Raw genomic sequence first — 24,024 nt, 5'->3', positions numbered from 1 at the left:
AGGAGTTCAAGACCAGCCTGGCCAACATGGCAAAACACTGTCTCTACTAAAAATACAAAAACTAGCTGGGCATGGTGGCACACCTGTAATCCCAGCCTCGGCCTCCCAAAGTGCTATTATTATACGCATGAGCCACCACGCCTGGTCACCCCCAGTATTTTATTTATTTATTTTTTATTTTTTTGAGACAGAGGCTCACTCTGCCATCCAGCCTGGAGTGCAGTGGCACGATCTCAGCTCACTGCAAACTCTGCCTCCTGGGTTCAAAAGATTCTCATGCCTCAGCCACCCGAGTAACTGGGATTACAGGTGCATGCCACTTCACCCAGCTAATTTTTTGTATTTTTAGTAGAGACGGGGTTTCACCATGTTGGCCAGGCTGCTCTCGAACTTCTGACCTCAGGTGATCTGCCCACTTCAGCCTCCCAAAGTGCTGGGATTACAGGTGTGACCCACTGCACCTGGCCCACCCCCAGTACTTTAGAATGTGCTTTATTTGGATAGAGGATCTTTAAAGATGTAATTAAGTTAAAATAGGTTATTAGGGCCAGCCCTAATCCAATATGAGTGGTTTCCTTTGTTCAACAGAAATTATGGCAGGTGGCCAGGCATGGTGGCTCATGTCTGTAATCCCAGCACTTTGGGAGGCTGAGGTGGGCAAATCACTTGAGGCCAGGAGTTCAAGACCAGCCTGGCCAACGTGGTGAAACCCTATCTCTACTAAAATACAAAAATTAGCTTAGTATGGTGGCACACGCATGTAGTTCCAGCTACTCGGGTGTCTGAGGCAGGAGAATCACTTGAACTTGGGAGGTGGAGGGTACAGTGAGCCAAGATCATGCCACTGCACTCCAGCCTGGCAACAGGGCAAGATTATGTCTAAAAAAAGAAAAAAAGAAGAAATTACGGCAGGCCATTGTTTTGTACTGAGTTTCTGCTCTAGGACCCAACAGACCAGACCAAATCAAAATGGAGTCACTCATGCTAAATGTCACATAATCAAACTAAAACTTTAAGGAAGCAAATAGATTCCCAAATAGCCTAGTTTTTCCTGAAAATAGGAGATTCCAGTCAGCATAATAAGGAATTCCGCTCTGCTTTAAACTTTAGAAAAAAAGTAACCTGAAGTAATCTGTTGTTAACCAATCAGTTTTGTTTTGTGTTTCTGAGACAGGGTCTCACTCTGTCACCTAGGCTGGAGTGCAGTGGTATGATCAAGGCTTTCTGCAGCCTCAACCTCCTGGGCTCAAGTGATCCTCCCACCTCAGCCTCCCAAGTAGCTGGGACTACAGACACATGCCACCACGCCTAGCTAATTTTAAATTTTTTTGTGAAGATGAGGGTCTCCTTTTGTTACGCAGATTGGTCTCAAACTCCACCTCAGCCTTCCAAAGTACTGGGATTACAGGCATGAGTCACTGCACCTGGCAACCAATCCGTTTTTTTCTATTATTCTGTTTCCTTGTTCTCACTTTACGAAACTCACTGTTCTGACTTTGTCCAGTGGGAGCTCTCATTCTGTTTTGTAGAATGGAGGCTGCCTTGATTCACGAATTGTGAATAAAAGCCATTAGATCTATAACTAAGTATGTTGTAATTTTGTCTTTTGATACCACATAAGAAAAGGAAAATAGGACACAGACAGGTACAGATAGAAGACCATGTGGAGACACAGGGAAAAGACAGCCATCTACAAACCAAGGAGAGAGGACTTACAAGAAACCAACCCTGCTGATACCTTGATCTGACTTTTATCATCCAAAATTGTGAGAAAATGAATTTCTGTTCCTTCAGACACTCAGTCTGTGGTACCTTGTTATAACAGCCCTAGCAAAATACACCTGCATTTTCACTCTTCTTTGCCCCTACATATGGCCGGGAGAATACAGTGGTGCAATCTTGGCTCACCGCAACCTCTGCTTTCCAGGTTCAAGCGATTCTCCTGCCTCAGCCTCCTGAGTAGCTGGGACTACAGGCACGCACCACCACGCTCAGTGAATTTTTGTATTTTTTTAGTAGAGATGGGGTTTTGCCCTGTTGGCCAGGTTGGGCAGGCTGGTCTCAAATTCCTGACCTCAGGTGATCCACTTGACTCAGTCTCCCAAAGTGCTGGGATTATAGGTGTGAGCCACTGCCCTTGGCCCTATAAAGGCACTCATAAGATTTATACTTAGATGTCATCAGTCCCTCTCAGAAATATGATGCTTTTTCTCCGGTTACAGATTTCACAACTAGAACAGACTCTAGACCAGAGATCCCAAACTGGTACCTATGGGTTGAATCTGGTCACAAACATTTTGTTTTGGTCCCCACAATATTTAAAAAAAAATTTTAGGCCGGGCATAGTGGCTCATGCCTGTAATCCCAGCACTCTGGGAGGCCGAGGTAAGCGGATCATGAGGTCAGGAGATCAAGACCATCCCAGCTAACATGGTGAAACCCTGTCTCTACTAAAAATACAAAAAATTAGCCAGGCGTGGTGGCAGGCACCTGTAGTCCCAGCTACTCAGGAGGCTGAGGCAGGAGAATGGCGTGAACCTGGGAGGTGGAGCTGGCAGTGAGCCGAGATCGTGCCACTGCACTCTAGCCTGGGCGACAGATCGAGACTCCATCTCAAAAAAAAAAAAATTTAATGGTGGTGAACATTTAAAACTTGAGGGCAGCCAGGCATGGTGGCACACACCAGTAATCCTAGCACTTTGTGATCCACCTGACTCGGCCTCCCAAAGTGCTAGGCTTCTCTTAGAAAACAAGCCTTGGCTTCACTAGGCCTATCTGGCAACAGCCTGTTGTAGTGAAGTAGTCGTACTCTCTGTAGAAGGAGCACATACCCTCCACTAACCTACAGTCTCCATCCGGCCTACTGTTCATCATCTGCATCTATGACTCTTGTCAACTAAAAAGGACCAAAATGTGTTCTCCTCCCTTCAGAATGTCTTCTCAATAGCAAGAGATATGGAAGTTATGATTGTGATATTTCCTTTGAATTTTGTTCAACTACCACATTTGATATTTTACCTGATTAAAAGCTGAGCATGAAACTGAGAGCGTGATACCATGAGAAAGTGTCACTGAAGCGTGGAGAGCTGAGGCTTAGGGAAGACTGAAGACTGAAAGTCAGAGGACTAGCTGACCTTAGCCTCTGGCAGCCTGATCAAACGTTCCAAGTAATTAGCAGCTTGGCATGCCAATAGTATTGCATCTACCAAGGGTAACTTAAATTGCCAAAGGCAATGAGGAAATATTGCCTCAAGTTCTCCAGGACTGAAAGCAAGTAGAATCAGGCACAGTGCATGGCAGAGGACACTGTCTCTCTGTCATGCTTCTCTGAGATGAATTGATACTACTGGGCCGTGGTCTGCATGAAATACGTTCATCTGTTCATTTCCTAGAACATGTGAAAAATTTGTTTAAGATCTGACCAGTTATTTCTAAAACATTAGGAATGGCTCAGAAGAGCTAAAATAGTTTTTTGTTTTTGTTTTTGTTTTTGTTTTTGTTTTTGAGAGAGAGAGTCTCGCTCTGTCACCCAGGCTGGAGTACAGTGGCAAGATCTTGGCTCACGGCAACCTCTGCCTCCCAGGTTCAAGGAATCCTCCTGCTTCAGCCTCCCAAGTAGCTGGGACTATAGCGTGCACTACCACGCCTGGCTAATTTTTGTATTTTTAGTACAAACAGGTTTCACCAAAACCCCATGTTGGGCAGGCTGGTCTCAAACTCCTGACCTCAGGTGATCCACCCACCTCAGCCTCCCAAAGTGCTGGGATTACAGGCATGAGCCACTGTGCCCAGCCAGAAGAGCTAAAATAGGTTTTGTTGCAGGTCAGAGGGCTATGACTTGCAAGACATGAACAACTATAATTGCCATGAAAAGAACAGTTTATGAGGAGCCAAAATGGCCTCACAGATGGAAGGAAAGGGCAGAATGTCCTTTTACGCCATGCCCATTGTACTGAGCAACTTTTCACCAAGTCATATTGTGTCCAGAGTTTGTTCCTTCCGGTGGGTTCGTGGTCTCGCTGACTTCAAGAATGAAGCTGCAGACCTTCACAGTGAGTGTTACAACTCTTAAAGGTGGCACGGACCCAAAGAGTGAGCAACAGGAGATTAACACTGAGAAGGCCCCACCAGTGTCCAGGAGGAAGTCAATTTCCTGGCCCTCAATGGTTAAACATACCCAGGGCTCAGTGAGGGTGATGACATGAGCTGGTGCTTGCCCCAGGCACCCTCAGTCCTGTTGTTGGATCATCTGGTTGGGGGCTTCTGGCCCAGAGAACCTTTGTCCTCTGGGGCAGTGTGCCTTCCAGTGATTGCCTCGGCATAGTGGACATGGGCGAGGGGGCGGCTTGTTTCTCAATGGACAACTTTTTTTAAGGTGTCCTTGCAAACCACACTGGTGAAAAGCCCTACTGGGTTATTGGCCTGCTCCATTTTCTGTCCTCTCTGAACCACCAAGGTTTGTTTGTCTGAGGGTCATGACTAAGGCTGTGGCCTTTCTCTGATTTCACTTTTCCTTCTCAGCCTATTCCTCTTGGTCCCTATTATAGAACACCGAGGTTGCTAGGTTTAATAATGCCTCCAGATTTTGTTCAGGGCCCAGGGCTCGCTTTTGGAGCTTTCTCCTGGTATCTGCGGCTGATTGGGTAATAAACTTATCTTTGAGGATCAATTGACCCTCAACGGAGTTGGGTGACAGGGGAGTATATTTTCTTAAGGCCTCCCGTAGCCACTTGAGGAAGGGGGAAAGATTTTCTTCCTTTCCTTGAGTTATGGTGGATATCATTAAATAATTCATGGGCTTTTTCCTAATTCTCCTTAACCCTTCTAGAACACAGGTCAGCAGATGTTTGTGACTCCAGTCTCCATGATCTGAGTCAAGGTCCCAGTGGGGATTCATACTGGGGACGGCTTGCTGACCGGTAGGGAATTTGTTCCTTTCTTCAGCTGTCATTCTATCGTTTACTTGACTAAGATGCCAGGTATCTCCAAACTCTCAGGCTGCAGCCAAAGCTGCATTCTTTTCGTTAAAGGCCAGGGTTTGATCTAACAATAGCATGACATCTCTCCAAGTGAGGTTGAAGGTTTGCCCTAGACCCTGTAAGACATCTATATACCTATCAGGATCATCCAAAAACTTCCCCAGGTCTACCTTGATCTGCTTTAAAGCAGAGAGGGAGAAAGGGACATGTACCCAGGTTGGGCCAAATTCCCCTCCCCCTACAGATTGAAGGGGACATGACTGATAGCCTGGGGGTTTTTGTGGTCCCTTAGAGATTTCTTTGCTTGTTTCTTCCTGGGCAGGGGAGATTAGAGGAGGCTTATCATTAATAGGAAGGGGAGCTGTAGGGTGGCCAGGATATGGAGGTAAGCTGAGAGGTCCTCCTGTGAAATGTAAATTGCAAGTTTTGCATAGTTGTGGATTATTCTTCAATGAAAAGAAAGCTTGGACATAAGGTATTTCACTCCATTTGCCTTCCCTCTTACAGAAAAGGTCAAGCTGCAGGATAGTATTGTAATTTATACTTCCCTCAGGTGGCCATTTTTCCCCATCAGAGAGAGAATATTGGGGCCAGGCCACAGTGCAGAAAAAAATAAGCTGCTTCTTTTTCAGGGTTTGTGGGTCAAATTGGTCCCAATGGCTTAAGATGCATTTCAAGGGTGAGCCTGAGTGTTTCCCATCTGAAAGAAAAAACCACCCGTGGTTTTGGTTTGTTTGTTTCCCACCCCCTGCCCCACCCAAGAACCCGCAACGGTCCCTGGGCCCTGCTGATTGGAATAGTTGCACTCACCGATGCAGCAGCAGATTCCCCTCTTGCCCAAGAACTCTCAACTGTCCCTGGACCATGCTGATCAGATTAGTTGCGCTCACTGAAGCAGTAGCAGAAACACTAGTTTTCCTCCTAGACCACAAAGAGGACCGAGGAAGGTCAGATTTAGTGGCCCTTACCGATGCATTTTCGAAAACCTGCACTCTTGCTCTTCCTCTTAGACTACAAAGAGGACCGAGAAAAAATCGGATTTAGTGGCCCTTACCAACACATTCTCAAAAACCTGTTAAAGAGTCCTAAGCATTTTCTCCTGTTAGCATTGGGACCTTAACCTTGTCCTATAAAGATTATATGCCTCAAAATGGAGTGGAGGGCCATACCCTGAGAGAGGGAAGAGATCTCCAGGGTTAGAAGAGTGACTCCTTTTGTTTTCACTTCTCATCAAATGAATAGGAAGGATATAATTTCTGAGGCTCCCCGTATCCTAGCTTCGGGAATAGCTTTTGTTAGACCTGCTAGTCTGAGGAGGGATCCTAAAATTCCAGATAGTGCCCCCTCCCCGATGGGGCTTTGGGCGAAAAAGTATGTCTTTCTGATTGGTGAGCCCGGGTACCTAAAGAAGGGAACAGAGTCCTGAAATTTATACTAGAAATCATTCTTATAGGAGAAACTAGAAAAGCACCAGAGACAGGGAGTGGTTTTTAGAAGGGGGGACTAGCCTTGGAGAAGAGAGGCAGGAGGAAGTTTGTCTGACTGATGTTAGGACCCAGGAGGGAAGGGTCAGGATAGATAGGATAGATGGGCGACTCTTACTTGGGTGATGTGACTTTGAGAGTTCTGCTCACATCTACAGGGTCAACCAACTTTTTGTCAGGACCCTGGAGCTGAATGGCTTTCCTCTCTGTCGTCCCTCAGCTCAGCCTGGAAATACAGGAAAAGTGGAAGCTGGTTCCATGCAAACCAATGCTCCCAACTCCAAAGAGTTGGGGATTGTTAGAGAGCCCTTTCCCAGAAAGTCTGACACCCGTGTCTTTAGTCCAGTGGCTGTGCTAGTCACTTTAAACTGGCCGACAGGTGCCCAGTGTTTAGCCCCTGAATTCTAAGGAAAAATAGGACAGAATAGCAAGCAAAAGGGGTCCGATGGTACTGACCATGTGGTGAAATCCCCAACAAGCCCCCAGGATGTGTTCGGAGTTTGTTCCTTCTGGTGGGTTCGTGATCTTGCTGACTTCAAAAATGAAGCTGTGGACCTTTGCAGTGAATGTCACAGCTCTTAAAGGTGGCACAGACCCAAAGAGTGAGCAGCAGCAAGATTTATTGTGAAGAGCAAAAGAACAAAGCTTCCAAAGCATGGAAAGGGACTCGAGCAGGTTGCCACTGCTGGCTAGGGTGGCCAGCTTTTATTCCCTTATTTGTCCCTGCCCATGTCCTGCTGATTGGTCCATTTTACAGAGTGCTCATTGGTCCATTTTACAGAGTGCTCATTGGTCCATTTTACAAACCTCTAGCTAGCTACAGAACGCTGATTGGTGTGTTTTTACAGAGCACTGATTGGTGCATTTTACAAAACCTCTAGCTAGCTACAGAGCACTGATTGGTGTGTTTTACAATCCTCTTGCAAGACAGAAAAGTTCTCCAAGTCCCCACTCAACCCAGGAAGCCCAGCTGGCTTCACCTCTCAGTATGGTTGTCCAATTCCATTTTAAAGCTGTAGTGGCCAAGCATGGTGGCCTATGTCTGTAATCACAGCATTTTGGGAGGTTGAGGCAGGAGAATCATTTGAGCCCAGAAGTTTGAGACCAGCCTGGGCAACATATCAAGACCCCATCTCAGCTAGGCATGGTGGCTCATACCTGTAATCCCAGCACTTGGGAAGCCGAGGCGGGTGGATCACCTGAGGTCAAGAGTTCGAGACCAGTTTCACCAATATGGTGAAATCCCATCTCTACTAAAAATACAAAAAATATAAAAATTAGCCAGGTGTGGTGGCACATGCCTGTAGCTACTCAGAAGGCTGGGACAGGAGAATTGCTTGAATCCAGGAGGCAGAGGTTGCAGTGAGCCGAGATTGTGCCACTGCACTCCAGCCTGGGCAACACAGCGAGACTCCCTCTCAAAAAAAAAAAAACAAAAAAACACACACAAAAAGCATTTCTACAAAGTAAAAAAATTAGCTGCATAGAGCCTTCCAAGGTGCAGTTCCTTCCCTGCCAGGGGCTTTCTGGGCACATCCTTCTATCTCCTTTATGAAGATTCATGATGCACATTAGCACAGTAAATTCCCCAAGAAATTCTGCAATAAAGGAACCAGTCTCACTTAAAATAAAATTAGTGTTTTTCAAATGTATGAAATCACAGCAAGAAAAATTTTAAATCAAGTAACACCTACTAATACCCCACAATATTGTGTGGAGTACATATTGAAAAGTGCTCCCCTAGTGTTTGCCTTTTTTTTCTTTTGGTAAAGGGATGCAGTTTTTTCAAAAGAAATATTGGCACATGCCCTCTCACATTAATCAACGTTCTCCGTCAAATGAGTCATTTCATGGAAACAATACACTCACATACCATCTCAAAAGCTGATCTACATGAGCGCTCCCCGGAATTCATAACCCTGACATTTCATGCTAGTAAGCATTAGTTGCCTTCTCTCTCCTTTCCCATGGCAACCCCTGGCATTCCCCACTTGACGATGGAAAGGTCACGTGACTGCAGTTAAATCTGTGCATTTTATTGAAACTGTGAGCAAAATACTACCTGCACTAGCCAAATGAGTCTAAAAACGGACAAAAAGGACACATAGCTTTAAAATAAATGCGTTCTCATTTTATAATACAGTTTTAAAGGCTCCAGTGAAATACTTTTAAGTTCAATAGGGATTCAAGGGAAAGTTGTGGAGAGAAGCAAACAATGGGAGGGAAGTTTCATTTTATCAAAATCGGAATAAAATAGACTCTTTTTCTCCTTTCCCATCCTTCATTCCTCCTCTCAAATAAAAACACCAACTGTGTCTATTTCTTTCACTCCCACTACAAGCTTTGAGCTTGGCAGGGGAGTGTTTGAAGAGAAATGCTGCTCTCTTGGAGCCCTTTAGCTGAATCACTCCATCAGAGTGGGAAATCACAAAAGGATTTCTGCCTAAACTGCAGGCGAGTGTGGTGGGAGGTAGAGGATCTCTTGATTAATTGAAACTCTGTTTCAGCAAAGTAGTAAAACCTATTATCAATGTGAACACTTTGTCTTCTCAGAATGTCTTTCTTCCTTTTCTTTCTTTTTTTTTTTTTTTTTCTTTTGAGACGGAGTTTTGCTCTTGTTGCCCAGGCTGAAATGCAATGGTGCAATCTTGGCTCACTGCAACCTCCGCCTCCTGGGTTCAAGCGATTCTTCTGCCCCAGCCTCCTGAGTGGCTGGGATTACAGGCATGCGCCACCACGCCTGGCTAATTTTGTATTTTTAGTAGAGACGGGGGTTTCCCCATGTTCGTCAGGCTGGTCTCGAACTCTGGACCTCAGGTGATCCACTCACCTTGGCCTCCCAAAGTGCTGGGATTACAGGTGTGAACCGCAACGCCCGGTCTCGTTTTCTTTTTTTAAGAAATTCTGGGTTCACAACCTTATTCTCAGTGGGAACTTTTTTCCTGGCTGCATTCCTCCCTGTGTTGCCCTCCTCTCATGGGATTAGCACTGTTTCCCGCACCCCTGCTCCCTGCTACCCTGCCCCGAGTTTCTCTGTGGCCTATCCTCCCATTCATTCCAGCTGCGGGTTCTTGTGCTTCAAGGAAACTAATCATACTTCCCTTTCTTGCATGTCAGGGTTAGAGAGAGAAAATAAAAACAGGCAGCATTTGTTCTAGTGCACTAGACATCAGGCACTCTTTTTTTTTTTTTTTTTTTTTTTTTTTTTTTTTTTTTTGAGACAGGGTCTCGCTCTGTCACCCAGGTTAGCTAAAGTGCAATGGCACAGTCTTGGCTCACTGCAACCTCTGACTCAAGCAATCCTCCCTCCTCAGCTTACCTAGTAGCTGGGACTACAGGCACATGCCACCTCACCCAGCTAATTTTTTTTTTTTTTTTTGAGATGGAGTTTCGCTCTGTCACCCAGGCTGGAGTGCAGTGGTGCGATCTCAGCTCACTGCAACCTCCTTCTCCTGGGTTGAAGCAATTCTCATGCCTCAGCCTCCCGAGTAGCTGGGACTACAGGTGCATACCACCATGCCCGGCTAGTTTTTGTATTTGTAGTAGAGATGGAGTTTCACCATGTTGGCCAGGCTGGTCTCAAACTCCTGACTTCAAGTGATCCTCCCTTCTCGGCCTCTCAAAGTGCTGGGATTACAGGTGTGAGCCACCACTCCTGGCCCCATAATTTTTGTATTATTTTGTAGAGATGGGGTTTCACCATGTTGTCAAGTCTGATCTTGAATTTCTAGGCTCAAACAATTACCTGCCTTGGCCTCCCAAAGTGCTGGGATTACAGGTGTGAGCCATCATGCCTGGCCTTCTACACGTTTATTTCATCCTATTTTTCCATTTTACAGATGAAAAAACTGAGGCTTACCAAGGCAAGTAACCTCCCCAGGATCACGTGCACTAAGTGGCAGAGCCAGGATTTGAAGGCTTGTGCCAAAGTTCATGTTCTTAACCACTGTAATAAATTCATCCACTCATTCAACAAATGTGTCAAGCAATGGTCAAGTATTGGGGACACTGTAGTGGGGAAAAAAAAGAACCAAGTCTTTCTTCACAGAGCTTACATTCTAGTAAGGAGACAGACAATGCATAACAAAGCATATAATGTTGGCCAGGCGCAGTGGCTCAGGCCTGTAATCCCAGCCCTTTGGGAAGCCAAGGCGGGTGGATCACCTGAGGTCAGGAGTTCGAGACCAGCCTGGCCAGCATGGCAAAACCTCGCCTCTACTAAAAATACAAAAATTAGCCGGGCATGGTGGCGGGTGCCTGTAATCCCAGCTACTTGGGAGGCTGAGGCAGGAGAATGGCTTGAACCCAGGAGGCAGAGGTTGCAGTGAGGCAAGATCATGCCATCACACTCCAGCCTGGGCAACAGAGGAGACTCCCTCTCAGAAAAAAAAAAAAAAAAAAAAAAAAAAAATGTCAAGTGCTATGAAGAAAACTAAAGCACAGTAAAGGGATAGAGTGTAATGGGTAGGAACTGCTACTCTGTATAGAGTGGTCAGGGAAGGTCTCTAGGAGGAGATGACACTGAAGCAGACATGGCCTTAGGTATCTACATTTTCACACTGACACCCACAAACTGGGTGATTTCAGGTAATGTTCTTAGAATTCTACATTTATTGTACATACTCTGATGGGTCTCTTTTGATTAGAATTCCTAACTTGAAAACTCCATTGCATTTGGGAGACAAAGCTGGCATTCTCCCACAGAAATATGTTGAATGTCTTCAGAAATATGTTGTTTGATGTGTCTTCAGAGATGTCCCTAGCAGAAGGGTGCCCTCACCAAACACCAACATTCGTTTTACTTAGCAGGTAGCCCTACCCTTCTAAACAATGGCTAACAGTTGCTGAACACTTAGCTCATCCTGCGTCAGACCAGAGTCTAAGTGCCTTAAATGACATGAGTCGTTTCATTTAATGCTGACAACCCCTCAAAGAGAGAGACTGGCTTGGCTGCCATAGCAAAATACCATAGACTAGGTGGCTTAAACAACAGCAATTTATTTTTTCACAGTTCTGGCGGCTGATAGTCCAAGGTCAAGATACCAGCATGGTCAGTTTCTGATGGCGGCTCTTTTCCTAGGTTGCAGGTAGCTGTCTTCTCCAAGTGCCCTCACATGGCAGGGGTGGTGAGGGCTGGGGCATGGTACATGCTAGCTTTCTGGTGTCTCTTCTTACAAGGGCACTAATCCAATCATTAGGACCTCATCAAAACGTAAGTGTCTCCCAAAGGCCCTATCTCCAAATACCATTGCATAGAAGTTAGGCCTTCATTGTAGAAATTTGGGGAGTAACACAGTTACTCCTATTTTATAGGTGATGAAACAGGCACAAAGAGGTTAGGTAACTTGCCTAAGGTCACAGGGAGTGGAATCTGCGTGTCAGTCTGATAGAAGAGACCATGATCTTGACCACTATGCATACGCAGCTTCTCTCCATGGGCAGGGCACCCTCATCTCTTACCCAGCTAGACTGGTAGGGAAGGCACAGAGATGAAGTACACATCCTTCTTTGATGGCTTTCAAAAAAGTACATTTCTTTACCTTCCTTATTCAAACAATATGTCCTCCTCTCTCTTTGGATGCTGAATGGAACAGTCAAACTCAGATCCTATTGTAAAACATTTTGGTAAAAAGTTTTGGCTTTAAAACAAAGCAAAACAAAACATCTATCCTACCAACTCCCATGGCCATGACTCCACAAGCATTATAACCTTCTGATAATAATTTAGTTTATCTTGCTGAGTTTCTTACACCAAATGTGCTGACACTCAAACCTGAGTACTCTAGACTGTATTTTTTTTTTTTTTTTTGAGACAGAGTCTTGTTCTGTCATCCAGACTGAAATACACTGGTGTGATCTCAGTTCACTGCAGCCTCAACCTCCCGGGCTCAAGCAGTCCTCCCACCTCAGCCTCCCAAGTAGCTGGGACTGCAGGCATGTGCCACCACACTCAGCTCATTTTTGTTTTTTTACTAGAGACGAGTTTTGCCAGTTGCCCAGTGTGGTCTCAAACTCCTGAGCTCAAATGATCCGCCCTCCTTGGCCTCTCCCGGGTCCAAGCGATTCTCCTGCCTCAGCCTCCCGAGTAGCTGGGATTACAGGCATGAGCCACCACACCTGGATAATTTTGTATTTTTAGTAGAGACAGGGTTTCACCATGTTGGTCAGGCTGGTCTTGAACTCGCGACCTCAGGTGACCCGCCCGCCTCAGCCTCCCAAAGTGCTGGGATTACAGAAGTGAGCCACCACACCTGGCCAGTAATTTCTAATCTTATAGCTAATTTGTTAGTCCTGCAAAGGCAGACTGGTCCCCAGGCTAAAAGAGGGGTCTTTTCGGGAAAGGGCGATTATCAATTTTGTTTCAGAGTAAAACCATGAACTGAATTCCTTCCTAAAGTTAGTTTGGCCTGTGTCCAGGAATGAACAAGGACAGCTTAAAGGCTAGAAGCAAGATGGAGTCAGGTCTGATTTCTTTCACTGTCATAATTTCCTTAGTTATAATTTTGCAAAGGTAGTTTCACTATTGCAAATCCAGTCCATTTGCAGTACTGTAGCCCCATCCCAGACACAGCTTGGATCCATTTACTTCTCTCTATCCCCACTGCCACCACTCTAGTCCAAGCCGCTATGATCTCTGCCCTCATTCCCTATAATATCCTCCTACCTAGTCGCCCCGCTTCCTCTTTTTCTCCCACTAAAATTAATTCTCCATGCAGCTAGAGAATTTGTTTTTTAAAAAATAGCATTATCACAATATAATTCATCCACCATAAATTCACCCATTTAAAGTATACAATCGAGTTTTCATATACTTACAAGATTGTACAACCATCACTATTATCGAATTTTAGAACATTTTTATTACCCCCACCCCCAGAAAACCCCATACTCATTAGCAGTCATTTCCCATTCCTCCTTTCTCCTATCCCTAGCAACCACTCATCTACTTTCTATCTCGATGGATTTGCCTATTCTGGACATTTCACATAAATGGAAGCATACAGTATGTGACATTTTTGCGTCTTGCATCTTTCACTTAGAATCATGTTTTTTATATTTTTATCCCACAAGCTTTTTTCCACTTTTATATTTATGTATTTATTTAAAGAGACAGGTCTTCTATGTTGCCCAGGCTACCCTCAAACTCCTGGGCATAAGTGATTCCCCCCATCTCAGCTTCCCAAGTAGCTGGGACTACAGGTGTGCATGACCACACCTGGCTTTCCATTATTTGTCTTTGTTTTTTTTTTTTTTTTGAGATGGAGTCTCACTCTGTCACCCAGGCTGGAGTGGTACGATCTCAGCTTACTGCAACCTCCGCCTCCCAGGTTCAAGCAATTCTCCCGCCTCAGCCTCCAGAGTAGCTGGGATTACAGGTGTGCGCCACCATGCCCAGCTAATTTTTGTATTTTTAATAGAGATGGGGTTTCGCCCTGTTGGCCAGGCTGGTCTCGAACTCCTGACCTCAGGTGATCCACCAGCCTCAGCTGCCCAAAGTGCTGGGATTACAGGCGTGAACCACCGTGCCTGGCCTACATACCACAAATTCTTTACCCATTCATCTGTTCATGGACACAGGCTGGTTCCATATTTATGCTATTGTGATAGTCCTTCAGTAAACATGTGAGAGCAGGTATCCTTTTGATATGTTGATTTCTTTCCCTTTAGATAGATACTCAGTAGTGGGATTGCTGGGTTGTACGGTAGGTTTATTTATTTACTTTTTTTTTTTTGAGACAGAGTCTTGCTCTGTTGCCTGGGCTGGACTGCAGTGGCATAATCTCGGCTCACTGCAAGCTCCGCCTCCCAGGTTCATGCCATTCTCCTGCCTCAGCCTCCCGAGTAACTGGGACCACAGGCGCCCGCCACCACACCCGGCTAATTTTTTGTATTTTTAGTAGAGATGGGGTTTCACCGTGTTAGCCAGGATGGTCTCGATCTCCTAACCTCGTGATCTGCCCACCTCAGCCTCCCCAAGTGCTGGGATTACAGGAGTGAGCCACCATGCCCGGCCGGTTTTTGTTTTTTTCTTTCTTTCGTTGAGACTGAGTCTTGCTCTTGTTGTCCAGGCTGGAGTGCAGTGGCGCAATCTCAGCTTTTAGTAGGATGAGCCGCAGACAAAACCTCTCAGACACCGAGTTGTAGAAGGAAGGGCTTTATCCAGCTGGGAGCATCAGCAAGCTACTGCCTCAAAATCTGAGCTCCCCAAGTGCACAATTTCTGTCCCTTTTAAGGGCTCACGACACTAAAGATTTCACATGAAAGGGTCATGATTGATTTGAGCAAACAAGCGGTACATGACAGGGGCTGCATGTACCGGTGGTCAGAGAGAAACAGAACAGGGCAGGGAGTTTCACAATGTTCTGCTGCACAATGTCTGGAATCCATGAATAACATCGGTTTCTAAGTTATGAGTTGATTTTTAACTACTGAGTTTAGGCCAGGCAGGCCCAGGCCTGGTTTCCGGCCTGGCGCTGGGCTGCCTGTCTTTGGTTTTACTTCCTTGCTGTTTCTTTTTTTCTTAAAACAGGTACTGAGTATAAAACAATATGAGAGGGTCTCTCTCCTTCCTCAGGCTCACTGCAACGTCCGCCTCCCAGGCTCAAGTGATTCTTCTGTCTCAGCCTCTTAAGTAGCTGGGATTACGGGCACGCACCACCATGCCCGGTTAATTTTTGTATTTTTAGTTGAGAATGGGTTTCACCATGTTGGCCAGGCTGGTCTCGAACTCCTGACCTCAAGTGATCCGCCCACCTCGGCCTCCCAAAGTGCTGGGATTACAGGCGTGAGCCACTGTGCCCAGCCTCAAGTCATGTTATTATAAACTAAAATTAGCAATTAGGAGAGACTTTAGAAATCTACCCATGCACTCTTGTTTTACAAATCCAAAACCAAGGCCTAAACAAGGTGAAAGATTTGTCTGGGGTCTGGAAGAGTACCTAGCTCTGTTCTGAGATCTCTAATTTCCATGACAGCTTCTTTTTAATTTATAATAATGATTGGCTTTACTCCAATGTCATGCTTGCCCCCCCCCCACCCCAAGTAACTAAAACGTACAGATGTTTGCTTCGTTCTTGTACTTTCTTATTTTTGTAAGCTTTCTTCCTAAAATGCCTGGAACGGCCCCTCAAATGGAAGGCTAGGACGTGGTTAGGAAGGCGGGCACTCGGCCGGGCGCGGTGGCTCACGCCTGTAATCCCAGCACTTTGGGAGGCCGAGGCGGGCGGATCACGAGGTCAGGAGATCGAGACCATCCCGGCTAAAACGGTGAAACCCCGTCTCTACTAAAAATACAAAAAACTAGCCGGGCGTAGTGGCGGGTGCCTGTAGTCCCAGCTACTTGGGAGGCTGAGGCAGGAGAATGGCGTGAATCCGGGAGGCGGAGCTTGCAGTGAGCCGAGATCGCGCCACTGCACTCCAGCCTGGGCGACAGAGCGAGACTCCGTCTCAAAAAAAAAAAAAAAAAAAAGGAAGGCGGGCACTCACACACCAGAAGGGAACTCTCTAGTGCTGCTGGCTCCTTTGTTTCTTCCTCCTTCACTGTCCGGGTTCCTCGTTCCGTTGCGGCGCCCTCCCTCGCCCTCCCTCGCCCATCAGCCAGTCGCCCAGCTACCAGCTCCCAGAGCCTCCGCCTCCTTCAGGGACCCGCCGCCCTGACCCAAGATGGCGCCAGACGCTTCGGCTGTGAGGGAAGTGAGCTCACGCTACTCCGGAAGGGAAGGCGGGAAGGGAGCAGGGGGCGGGGGGTGGCTGACCCGCTGTGGGGCTGTGGGGCTGTGGGGCTGTGGGTGGGGCGGCGGCCGCGGCCCTGGCATTCGCGCTTGGGTCTGGAGATAGCGCGAGAGACTCACCGGCTCCTGGGAACCCAGTCGAGGGCCCGGGCCAGGGGCATAAGAGGAAGTTGTCCCGAGTGGCTCGCCTCTGGCCCTGGGAGAGGCGGCCCCGGGAGCCGGCGTCCCGCCCCCGGCGGCCTCATTCCCCGACCCTCCTCCCCGGCTGCGCGCGCCGGCCCTGGCTGTATCTCGGGGGCTGCGGCGGGAACTGCCGAGCGGGCTTGACTGGACGCACTGCCTGAGGACCTGCGGAGGAGACGAGGGAGCGCGGCGGGTCAGCCCCGAGGTTAGGCCGCGGGTCCCCTGTCCGTGGCGCTCCGTCCTTTTCCCAGCCGTCTTGGCTACAGAATCTGCGACCTCCCCACACTCCTTCTCTTTTGAGTATGTCACTTAAGTCTTCTCGCCGGATGCTTTTTCCTCCTTGCTTTTGCCGGAAAGGAGAGAGATACATGTGAAGGATATCTGTCCTCGTTGCTTCCCCTGCCCTCTCAAAAGTTTAACTTCTGTGGGAATGTGTATCTTCCTTTTCTGGACCATTTGACAGTCCCGCCCCAGCCGCCGTGTGATTTAGCAACCGGTATCATATTCAGATCAAATCTTAAAAAAAAAAAGTCACCTACAGAACTACAGAATTGTTCTCTCCCGCTCAAGAAGGGCAAGTGGACTTTGGCGTTAAGATGCAGGGGGGTGAACCAGTGTCCACAATGAAAGTCTCGGAGAGCGAAGGAAAGCTGGAGGGCCAGGCCACAGCGGTGACCCCGAACAAGAACAGCAGCTGTGGAGGTGGAATCAGTAGCAGCAGCAGCAGCCGCGGTGGCAGTGCAAAAGGCTGGCAGTACAGGTATGCTCCTTTCTCCAAAATTATTTCCCGAGGTGGAGGTAGGGGTGAATATGCCCTGGAGGCTGCATCCCGCAATTGTTGAAAGATAAAAGTTTTTTCACTGGCTTCCAGAAGCTACTGATACATCTCGTTTGGATCTGGGACCTCGCCTAAAAGATTTAATCCATTCATTTGTTCATTCAACAGGTATTTATGGAAGGCCTTTTGAGGAACACAGAAATGTATCCCTGAACTTCCTCTACAGTCAGAGAGTTAATGCTTCCTCAGATTTAATTCTGTACTCACTTCTGCTTTTGCCTATGTTGCAATTTATTTACAAGCCAGCTTTCTCTGATAGACTGCGAGGGCAGGAACTGTTTAACTCAGCTTTCTCGAGAGGGTAGCAAATACTGGTGCTCAAAACTTACTTGTCCAGAGCTTCTCCAGAATCAGAAAAGATTCTTGCCCTGAAGGTATTTGTGACTTGGAAAGGGGAATGTACATAAGTAATTGGAATGCAAGGACAAAGGTAGAGATCCTAATGCCTCTGATAAACTAAACCTGAGCCTGGAGATGTTCAGTTTGCGTTGCTCAGGCCACTTCAATGCTCTCTGTGTTGATGAGAAAGTCTATATTTGTTAATTTTCACTAATATGAATGAACAACTTAAGGAACAGGAGGAGAGTCCTGGAGAGGCAACAAGTTTTGTTTTTGTTTTTTCATATATGAAGTGTAGGGAGAAAGAACTATCCAGAACCTTAAGAATGAATGAAACAAACCAGCACATCCCATCGTATTGGAACTAAAGGGATGAATTCTTAAGTTTTGATTGACTCCTATGTGCCTAACTGTAGTCCTTTTTAGCCTTTGTGCTTATTTGTGCTTGTGAAATTTTTGTGAAACTTGGAAGGGATTAAAGCCAAGATTTTGTGAGGGATATACATTTATCATGAATAATATTCATATGTATGAAATATGCATGACTATATTAACATATAGAAGTGAAGTATAGAAGATTATAATTTTTTTTTTTTTTTTGAGGCAGAGTCTGGCTCTGTCACCCAGGCTGGAGTGTGGTGGCGCGATCTCGGCTCACTACCACCTCCACCTCCTGGGTTCAAGCGATTCTCGTGTCTCAGCCTCCCGAGTAGCTGGGATTACAGGCGTGCGCCACCACACCTGGCTAATTTTTGTATTTTTAGTAGAGATGGGGTTTCACCATGTTGGCCAGGCTGGTCTCGAACTCCTGACCTCAAGTGATCAGCCCTCCTCTGCTTCCCAAAGTGCCGGGATTACAGGCTTGAGCCACCGCGCCTGGCCAGAAGATAACTTTTTATTGGTAAGTGACTGTAGGATAAGAAGATATATTCAGTTAGTTTGAGAGGTCTAGGCCCGCTTTTGGAATCAGCATGATTTTTTTGTATGTGTGTGACCTGTGGCAGGGGCCGCGGGTCCCCTGTCCGTGGCGCTTCGTCCTGACCTGCTATGGGGCTGTGGGTGGGGCGCCGCCGCGGCCCTGGCATTCACATTTGGGTCTGGAGAGAGCCGGGAGTCTATTAAGTTGGTTGTGAGGTGCCTTCGAATGTTATTTTTGGTTTACAACTTTCTTGATGATATTGTTTGCAGCACAATGGTTTTTAATTTTCATGAAGTCTAATGAGTTTTTTCTTCTCTTGTTATAGTTTTGTGTCACATCTAAAAAAACATTGTGAAGTTTAAGATGACAAAGATTTACACTTATGTGTTTGTCTAGGAGTTTTGTTTTAGTGCTTATGTTTAGGTTTCTGATGCATTTTTAGTTCATTTTTCTTTATGATCATTTTTTTTTCTTTTGTGAAACATCTACATATGTGTTTTTTATACATTTCCTGTTAGGTCTTAATATTTTTCTTTTTAATATGCTTGATATCTCTTATTAAAATGTCAACATTAAATACCAATATTCCTTTAAAAATATTTTGTTGATTTTTCTTCTTTTCAATAGGTAAAGGGATGAGTATATACAATGAAACATTTCCCTTACATACTTTCCCAGCCACTCGGTTTCCTTCTCTGGAAATGCTATCTTTTACTGATTTCTTGACTATAATTCCAGAGAAATTTATATTAGTTCTTTATTTAATAAACATGTGATGACATGCAATATATTTTAATTTTGTATAAATTCTTTGCTATACTTTCTGCAAATATTTCACTAGTCCTCAGATTTAATTTCATTTTTTTTGACACACAGAAAACTTTTAAGTCAGACCTCTTATTCCTCTTTTCCATCCATTTCTAATTATAAAAAGTAACTTTTATAAGTACTTGGTTTTGGCTGGCACTGTAGCTCACCCAAAGTGTTGATCCTTAGCACTTTGGGGCGCTGAGGTGGGAGCATTACTTGAGCCCAGCAGTTTGAGACTAGCCTGGGCAACATAGAGAGACCCCATCTCTACAAAAAATTAAAAAATTAGCCAGGCATGGTGGCATGCCTACTCAGGAGGCTGAGGTGGAAGGATTGCTTGAGTTCTAGGCTCCAGTGAGCTGTGATTGTGCCACTGCACTCAAGCCTGGGTGACAGAGCAAGACCCTGTCTCAAAAATAGTTAAATAAATAGTTGTTTTCATGAAGTTTTAAAATAATTTGGTAGTTTTACAATTTAACTTTTTTTTTTGAGACAAGGTCTCTCTCTGTCTCCCAGGGTTGAGTGTGGTGTCTCCATCATAGCTCACTGCAGCCTTGAACTGCTAGGCTCAAGTGATCCTCCTATTCAGCTTCTGGAATAGCTGGGACTACAGGTGTACACCACCATGCCCAGCTAATTTTAAAATTTTTTTCTAGAGGCAGGATCTTGCGATGTTGCCCAGGCTCATATTTAACTTTTTAATCTATCTGGAATTTATTTTGAAATACAGTGTGAGATAGTGTATCTACTACTGCATTACAAATTACCCCCAAATTTAATATATTAGCAGCATTTATTATTTCATAGTGTCTTTGGGTCAGGAATCTCAGTGCAGCTTAGCTGGGTCTTCTGGCTCTGAGTCTTTCTTAAGACTGAACTGGGAAGGATTCATTTCCTAGCTGATTCATGAGACTCTTGGTGCAATTCAGTTCCTTTTGGCCCATTGGACAAAAAACTCAGTTCCTCATGAACTGATGGCCAGAGACCTCCTTTGTTCACTGGCCACATGGGCTTCTTCACAGAGCATCTTACAACTTGGCAGCTTGTTTCTTGAGAATGAGGAGGTAAGAGGACTAGAGAGTGCTACCTGGAGAGAAGTTAACAGTCTTTTGTAACCTAAGCACTGAGGTGAATTCACATCACTTTTCACTGTTCTTCAGAAACAAGTCCCACACAAGGGTGTGAGAATACCAGCAGGTGGGGATTATTGGGATTTATGCCAGAAAATGCCTAGGCAGTTAATATAATAGACTCAAGATTGTAAAGACTAGAGGGGAAAACGGACTTGGGGAGTCAAATTATGTATCTGGTTTTAGGTATGTCCAGCTAAAGTTGCCAGAATGTTTAAGTGTCTTATCTAGCCAGTCCTCAGAGATATGGAGTATTGGAAATGTAGATAATTGTCTTTACATTATCCAGAATGTTTTCACATCTGTTATCACATTTAATCCTCCCAACTCTGGAGGAAGATACAGCATTATTATTCCTGTTTTGCAGTTGAAGAAAACCTAAGTCTAAATGACAATATAGACTTAGGCAATATAGTACATGAAGTTATATATTGCATGTAGCTAAGGTTACATAGCTAGTAAGTGGGAGAACTTTTATTTCTAGATAGATATTTACATAGAGGTATTAAAAGTAGATAAACTCTCTAAAAGGAATGAATAATTATTGATAATAACTAGTTTGGTACATGGTTGGTTTTATGGTTTACTCATGTTCTAACTTATGTAGCAAATATTTTTGAGTCTCTACTATGTCTGAAGCACTCTTTTATTAATGCCAAATTAATGTGCACACCCAAAACAACGAAAGAATGAATTCTAAGGCTTATTTTAGGAGGATCATCAAAATAATCAGGAAAAGGAAGGGCATCAGTGGCATTTACAAAACAATCTCATGATGACCTTTTGAAAAAAAAAATTTTTTTTTTGAGACAGAGTCTGGTCCTCTTGTGCAGGCTGGAGTGCGGTGGCAGATCTTAGCTCACTGCAACCTCTGCCTCCCAGGTTCAAGTCCAAGCGATTCTCCTGCCTCAGCTTCCCAAGTAGCTGGGACCACAGGCACTTGCCACCACACCCGGCTGATTTTTGTATTTTTAGTAGAGATGAGGTTTCACCATGTTGGCCAGGCTGGTCTCAAACTCCTGACCTCAAGTGATCCACCCACTTCGGCCTCCTGAAGTACTAGGATTACAGGCGTGAGCCACCGTGCCTGGCCCTTTTGAAAAATTAAACTTAAGAACTTAATTTATTAGATTAGCCTTGTATTTTCTTGTTTCCAGAGTAATTTATATTCATATGATGTGAGCTTTCTTTACCATTTACAGAGAAGATAGATTTCCCAGTTCTGGGTCTTTCCTTCCTTTTTCATAGTGAATATTCACACTTTATAAAATATGCATGTTTTCATTATTTTTGTATTCTTCATGTCAGCTTGTAGAGAAATTCACAAATCTGCAAATATGCCACCTGCTTATTAAAATGGGCAGAAGAGAACTATTCAAAAGAGGAACTGAAAGACAAACCAGGGTGTTTGATGGCCTGCTTTTTTTTAAAATTTTGAGCTCCTCACTGGCTAATCATATTAACAGATAAATCTATTTTCCTCATTAGCAAACAGCTATACTTTTCAGTAAATGTGTAAAAGTCTGCAAATGTGTAGTATAGAAATAATTTTTGTGGTCAGACCACAATAATTTTGTGGTTTCTTCCACTGTCAATACTATTATAAGGAAAAGTGCCTGTTCGCGGATGGGAAAATGAGATTGGCCTAAATATAAATGAATGTTCATGGTCTTAGAGGTTTTACCTCTTCTTCTGAGTTGATTTGAAGAAAAAGTCATAAATGTCTGCTTTTTTTTTTTTTTTCCTCTGCAGGGGTTAAAGGAAAATTGATACATATTTCTACACTCTAGTTTTTGTTTTCTGTATCTGACATCTGCTATAGATGCTGGTAAAAACAAGAGAAAGATAATTGTAGGCATGTAACTGGAAACTATAAAATATTATTCCAAAATCTAGTTAAAAATATACCAAGTCTTGAGGAGCAAGAGTTGGTTTATTAATAATGTGCTGTGATTTCTTAGTTTCCTTACATTTTTGCACTACATATCTTTTCTGTTTTGTTTTTTTTTTTTTTTTTTGAGATGGAGTTTCACTCTTGTTGCCCAGGCTAGAGCACAATGGTGCAATCTTGGCTCACCACAACCTCTGCCTCCTGGGTTCAAGCGATTCTTGTGCCTCAGTCTCCCGAGTAGCTGGGTACAGGCAGGTGCCACCCGGCTAATTCTTATATTTTTGGTAGAGACGGGGTTCCACCATGTTGGCCAGGCTGATTTCGAACTCCTGACCTCAGGCGATCTGCCTGCCTAGGCCTCTTAAAGTACTGGGATTACAGGCGTGAGCCACCGCACCCGGCTTTGTCTACATTTCTAATCATTTGTCATAGATGGGATACCTAAAAGTGAAATTCTAGGGCCAAAGAGTGCTAACATTTTTAAGACTCTTGGCAGGAGGGAGGACCCCTCTCTTGACTTTATACTTTTTGTCATAGATTAAAATACAGTTAGACTTTATTTTGTTTGCGATTTTGAGTATACAGTCTGCGAGTTGAATTTTTTGGGGAGGAGGTGGGCAGGTTACTGAGAATTGCCTCATGGCTTCATAGAAAAATTCTGTTTCTTTCTTCCCATTGCTTAATTCATTCAGCAAATAAACATTATATCCCAGGCTACACACTAGCTGTTGCGAGGAATATCTCTTAATGTCATTAGCCTTTTCCTCAGCTAAGCAAGCCACTCCCCGCTTCATGCTATTTCTTATCCAGAGAATGGACCAAAGTGCTAAGCCTTTTGGGAGGATACTTTTTGCCTAGTTGAAAGTATGGATTTTGACATGTGACTTGCCTGGTACCTCATATTTACTGACTACAACTTGGATTCCTGCCTGTAGTTAAATACCTTAAGGTATCGCTATTTGGCTTTTCCAGGAAAATAGAACCAATAGGTAGATATATATAGAGAGAGATTATGAGGAATTGGCTCATATGACTGTGGAGCCTGAGAAATCCCATAGCTCAGTTGTCTACAAGCTGGAGAACCTCTTGACATTATCGTCAACCTCTGATGTTACTTCCAGCTGACTGCCCTCATCATTCCATTAAACTGTTATCTCTGGGTTTTAAGTCTAATGAGTCTTCTCAGTCTTTGTCATATCTTACTTTATCAGTAGCACTGAACTTCTCTTTTTTTTTTTTTTTTTTTTTGAGACAGGGTCTTACTCTGACGCCCAGCCTGGAGTACAGTGGCAGGATCTTGGCTCAGTGAAACCTCCGCCTCCCAGTTTCAAGCAATTCTCCTGCCTCAGCCTCCCAAGTAGCTGGGACTACAGGCATGCACCACCACGCCCAGCTAATTTTTGTATTTTTAGTAGAGATAGGGTTTTACCATGTTGGCTAGGCTGGTTTTGAACTCCTGACCTCAAGTGATCCACCCACCTCAGCCTCCCAAAGTGCTGGGATTATAGGCATGAGCCACTGTGCCTGGCCTGAGACAGAGTCTTGCTCTGTTTCCCAGGCTGGAGTGCAATGGCACGATTGCAGCTCCCTGCAGCCTCCACTTCCTGGGCTCAAGCAATCCTCCCATCTCAGTGTCCTGAGTAGCTGGGATTACAGGTGTGTGCCACCCTGCCTGGCTAATTTTTAATTTTTTTTGTAGAGACAGGATCTCACTGTGATG

The 24,024-nt window shown here is 44.9% G+C and overlaps 1 protein-coding gene across 2 annotated transcripts in view, besides 3 other annotated features; it reads left to right on the top strand.

The window, feature by feature from the left end:
- Nucleotides 16,160–16,569: a silencer, noted in NCBI's record as "silent region_14668". NCBI's record gives its function as "represses an Ori minimal core promoter by ATAC-STARR-seq in GM12878 lymphoblastoid cells {active_cell/tissue: GM12878}" and the evidence as "EXISTENCE:reporter gene assay evidence [ECO:0000049][PMID:35858748]".
- Nucleotides 16,277–24,024, top strand: part of OSBPL11 (oxysterol binding protein like 11) — a 66,640-nt gene continuing 58,892 nt past the window's right edge. For both annotated transcript variants that reach the window (NM_022776.5, XM_047447396.1), the window contains exon 1: nucleotides 16,277–17,137. In NM_022776.5, the coding sequence (NP_073613.2) occupies nucleotides 16,974–17,137 (164 nt within the window). In that variant the 5' untranslated portion in view covers nucleotides 16,277–16,973. The remainder of the gene's footprint in view (nucleotides 17,138–24,024) is intronic.
- Nucleotides 16,670–16,729: an enhancer, noted in NCBI's record as "active region_20433". NCBI's record gives its function as "activates an Ori minimal core promoter by ATAC-STARR-seq in GM12878 lymphoblastoid cells {active_cell/tissue: GM12878}" and the evidence as "EXISTENCE:reporter gene assay evidence [ECO:0000049][PMID:35858748]".
- Nucleotides 17,690–17,749: an enhancer, noted in NCBI's record as "active region_20432". NCBI's record gives its function as "activates an Ori minimal core promoter by ATAC-STARR-seq in GM12878 lymphoblastoid cells {active_cell/tissue: GM12878}" and the evidence as "EXISTENCE:reporter gene assay evidence [ECO:0000049][PMID:35858748]".

This window comes from Homo sapiens, chromosome 3, assembly GCF_000001405.40.
Source record: "Homo sapiens chromosome 3, GRCh38.p14 Primary Assembly".
NCBI lineage: Eukaryota > Metazoa > Chordata > Mammalia > Primates > Hominidae > Homo > Homo sapiens.
Note: the sequence above shows the minus strand (reverse complement) of the source record. Positions and strands in the feature narration are given on the sequence as shown.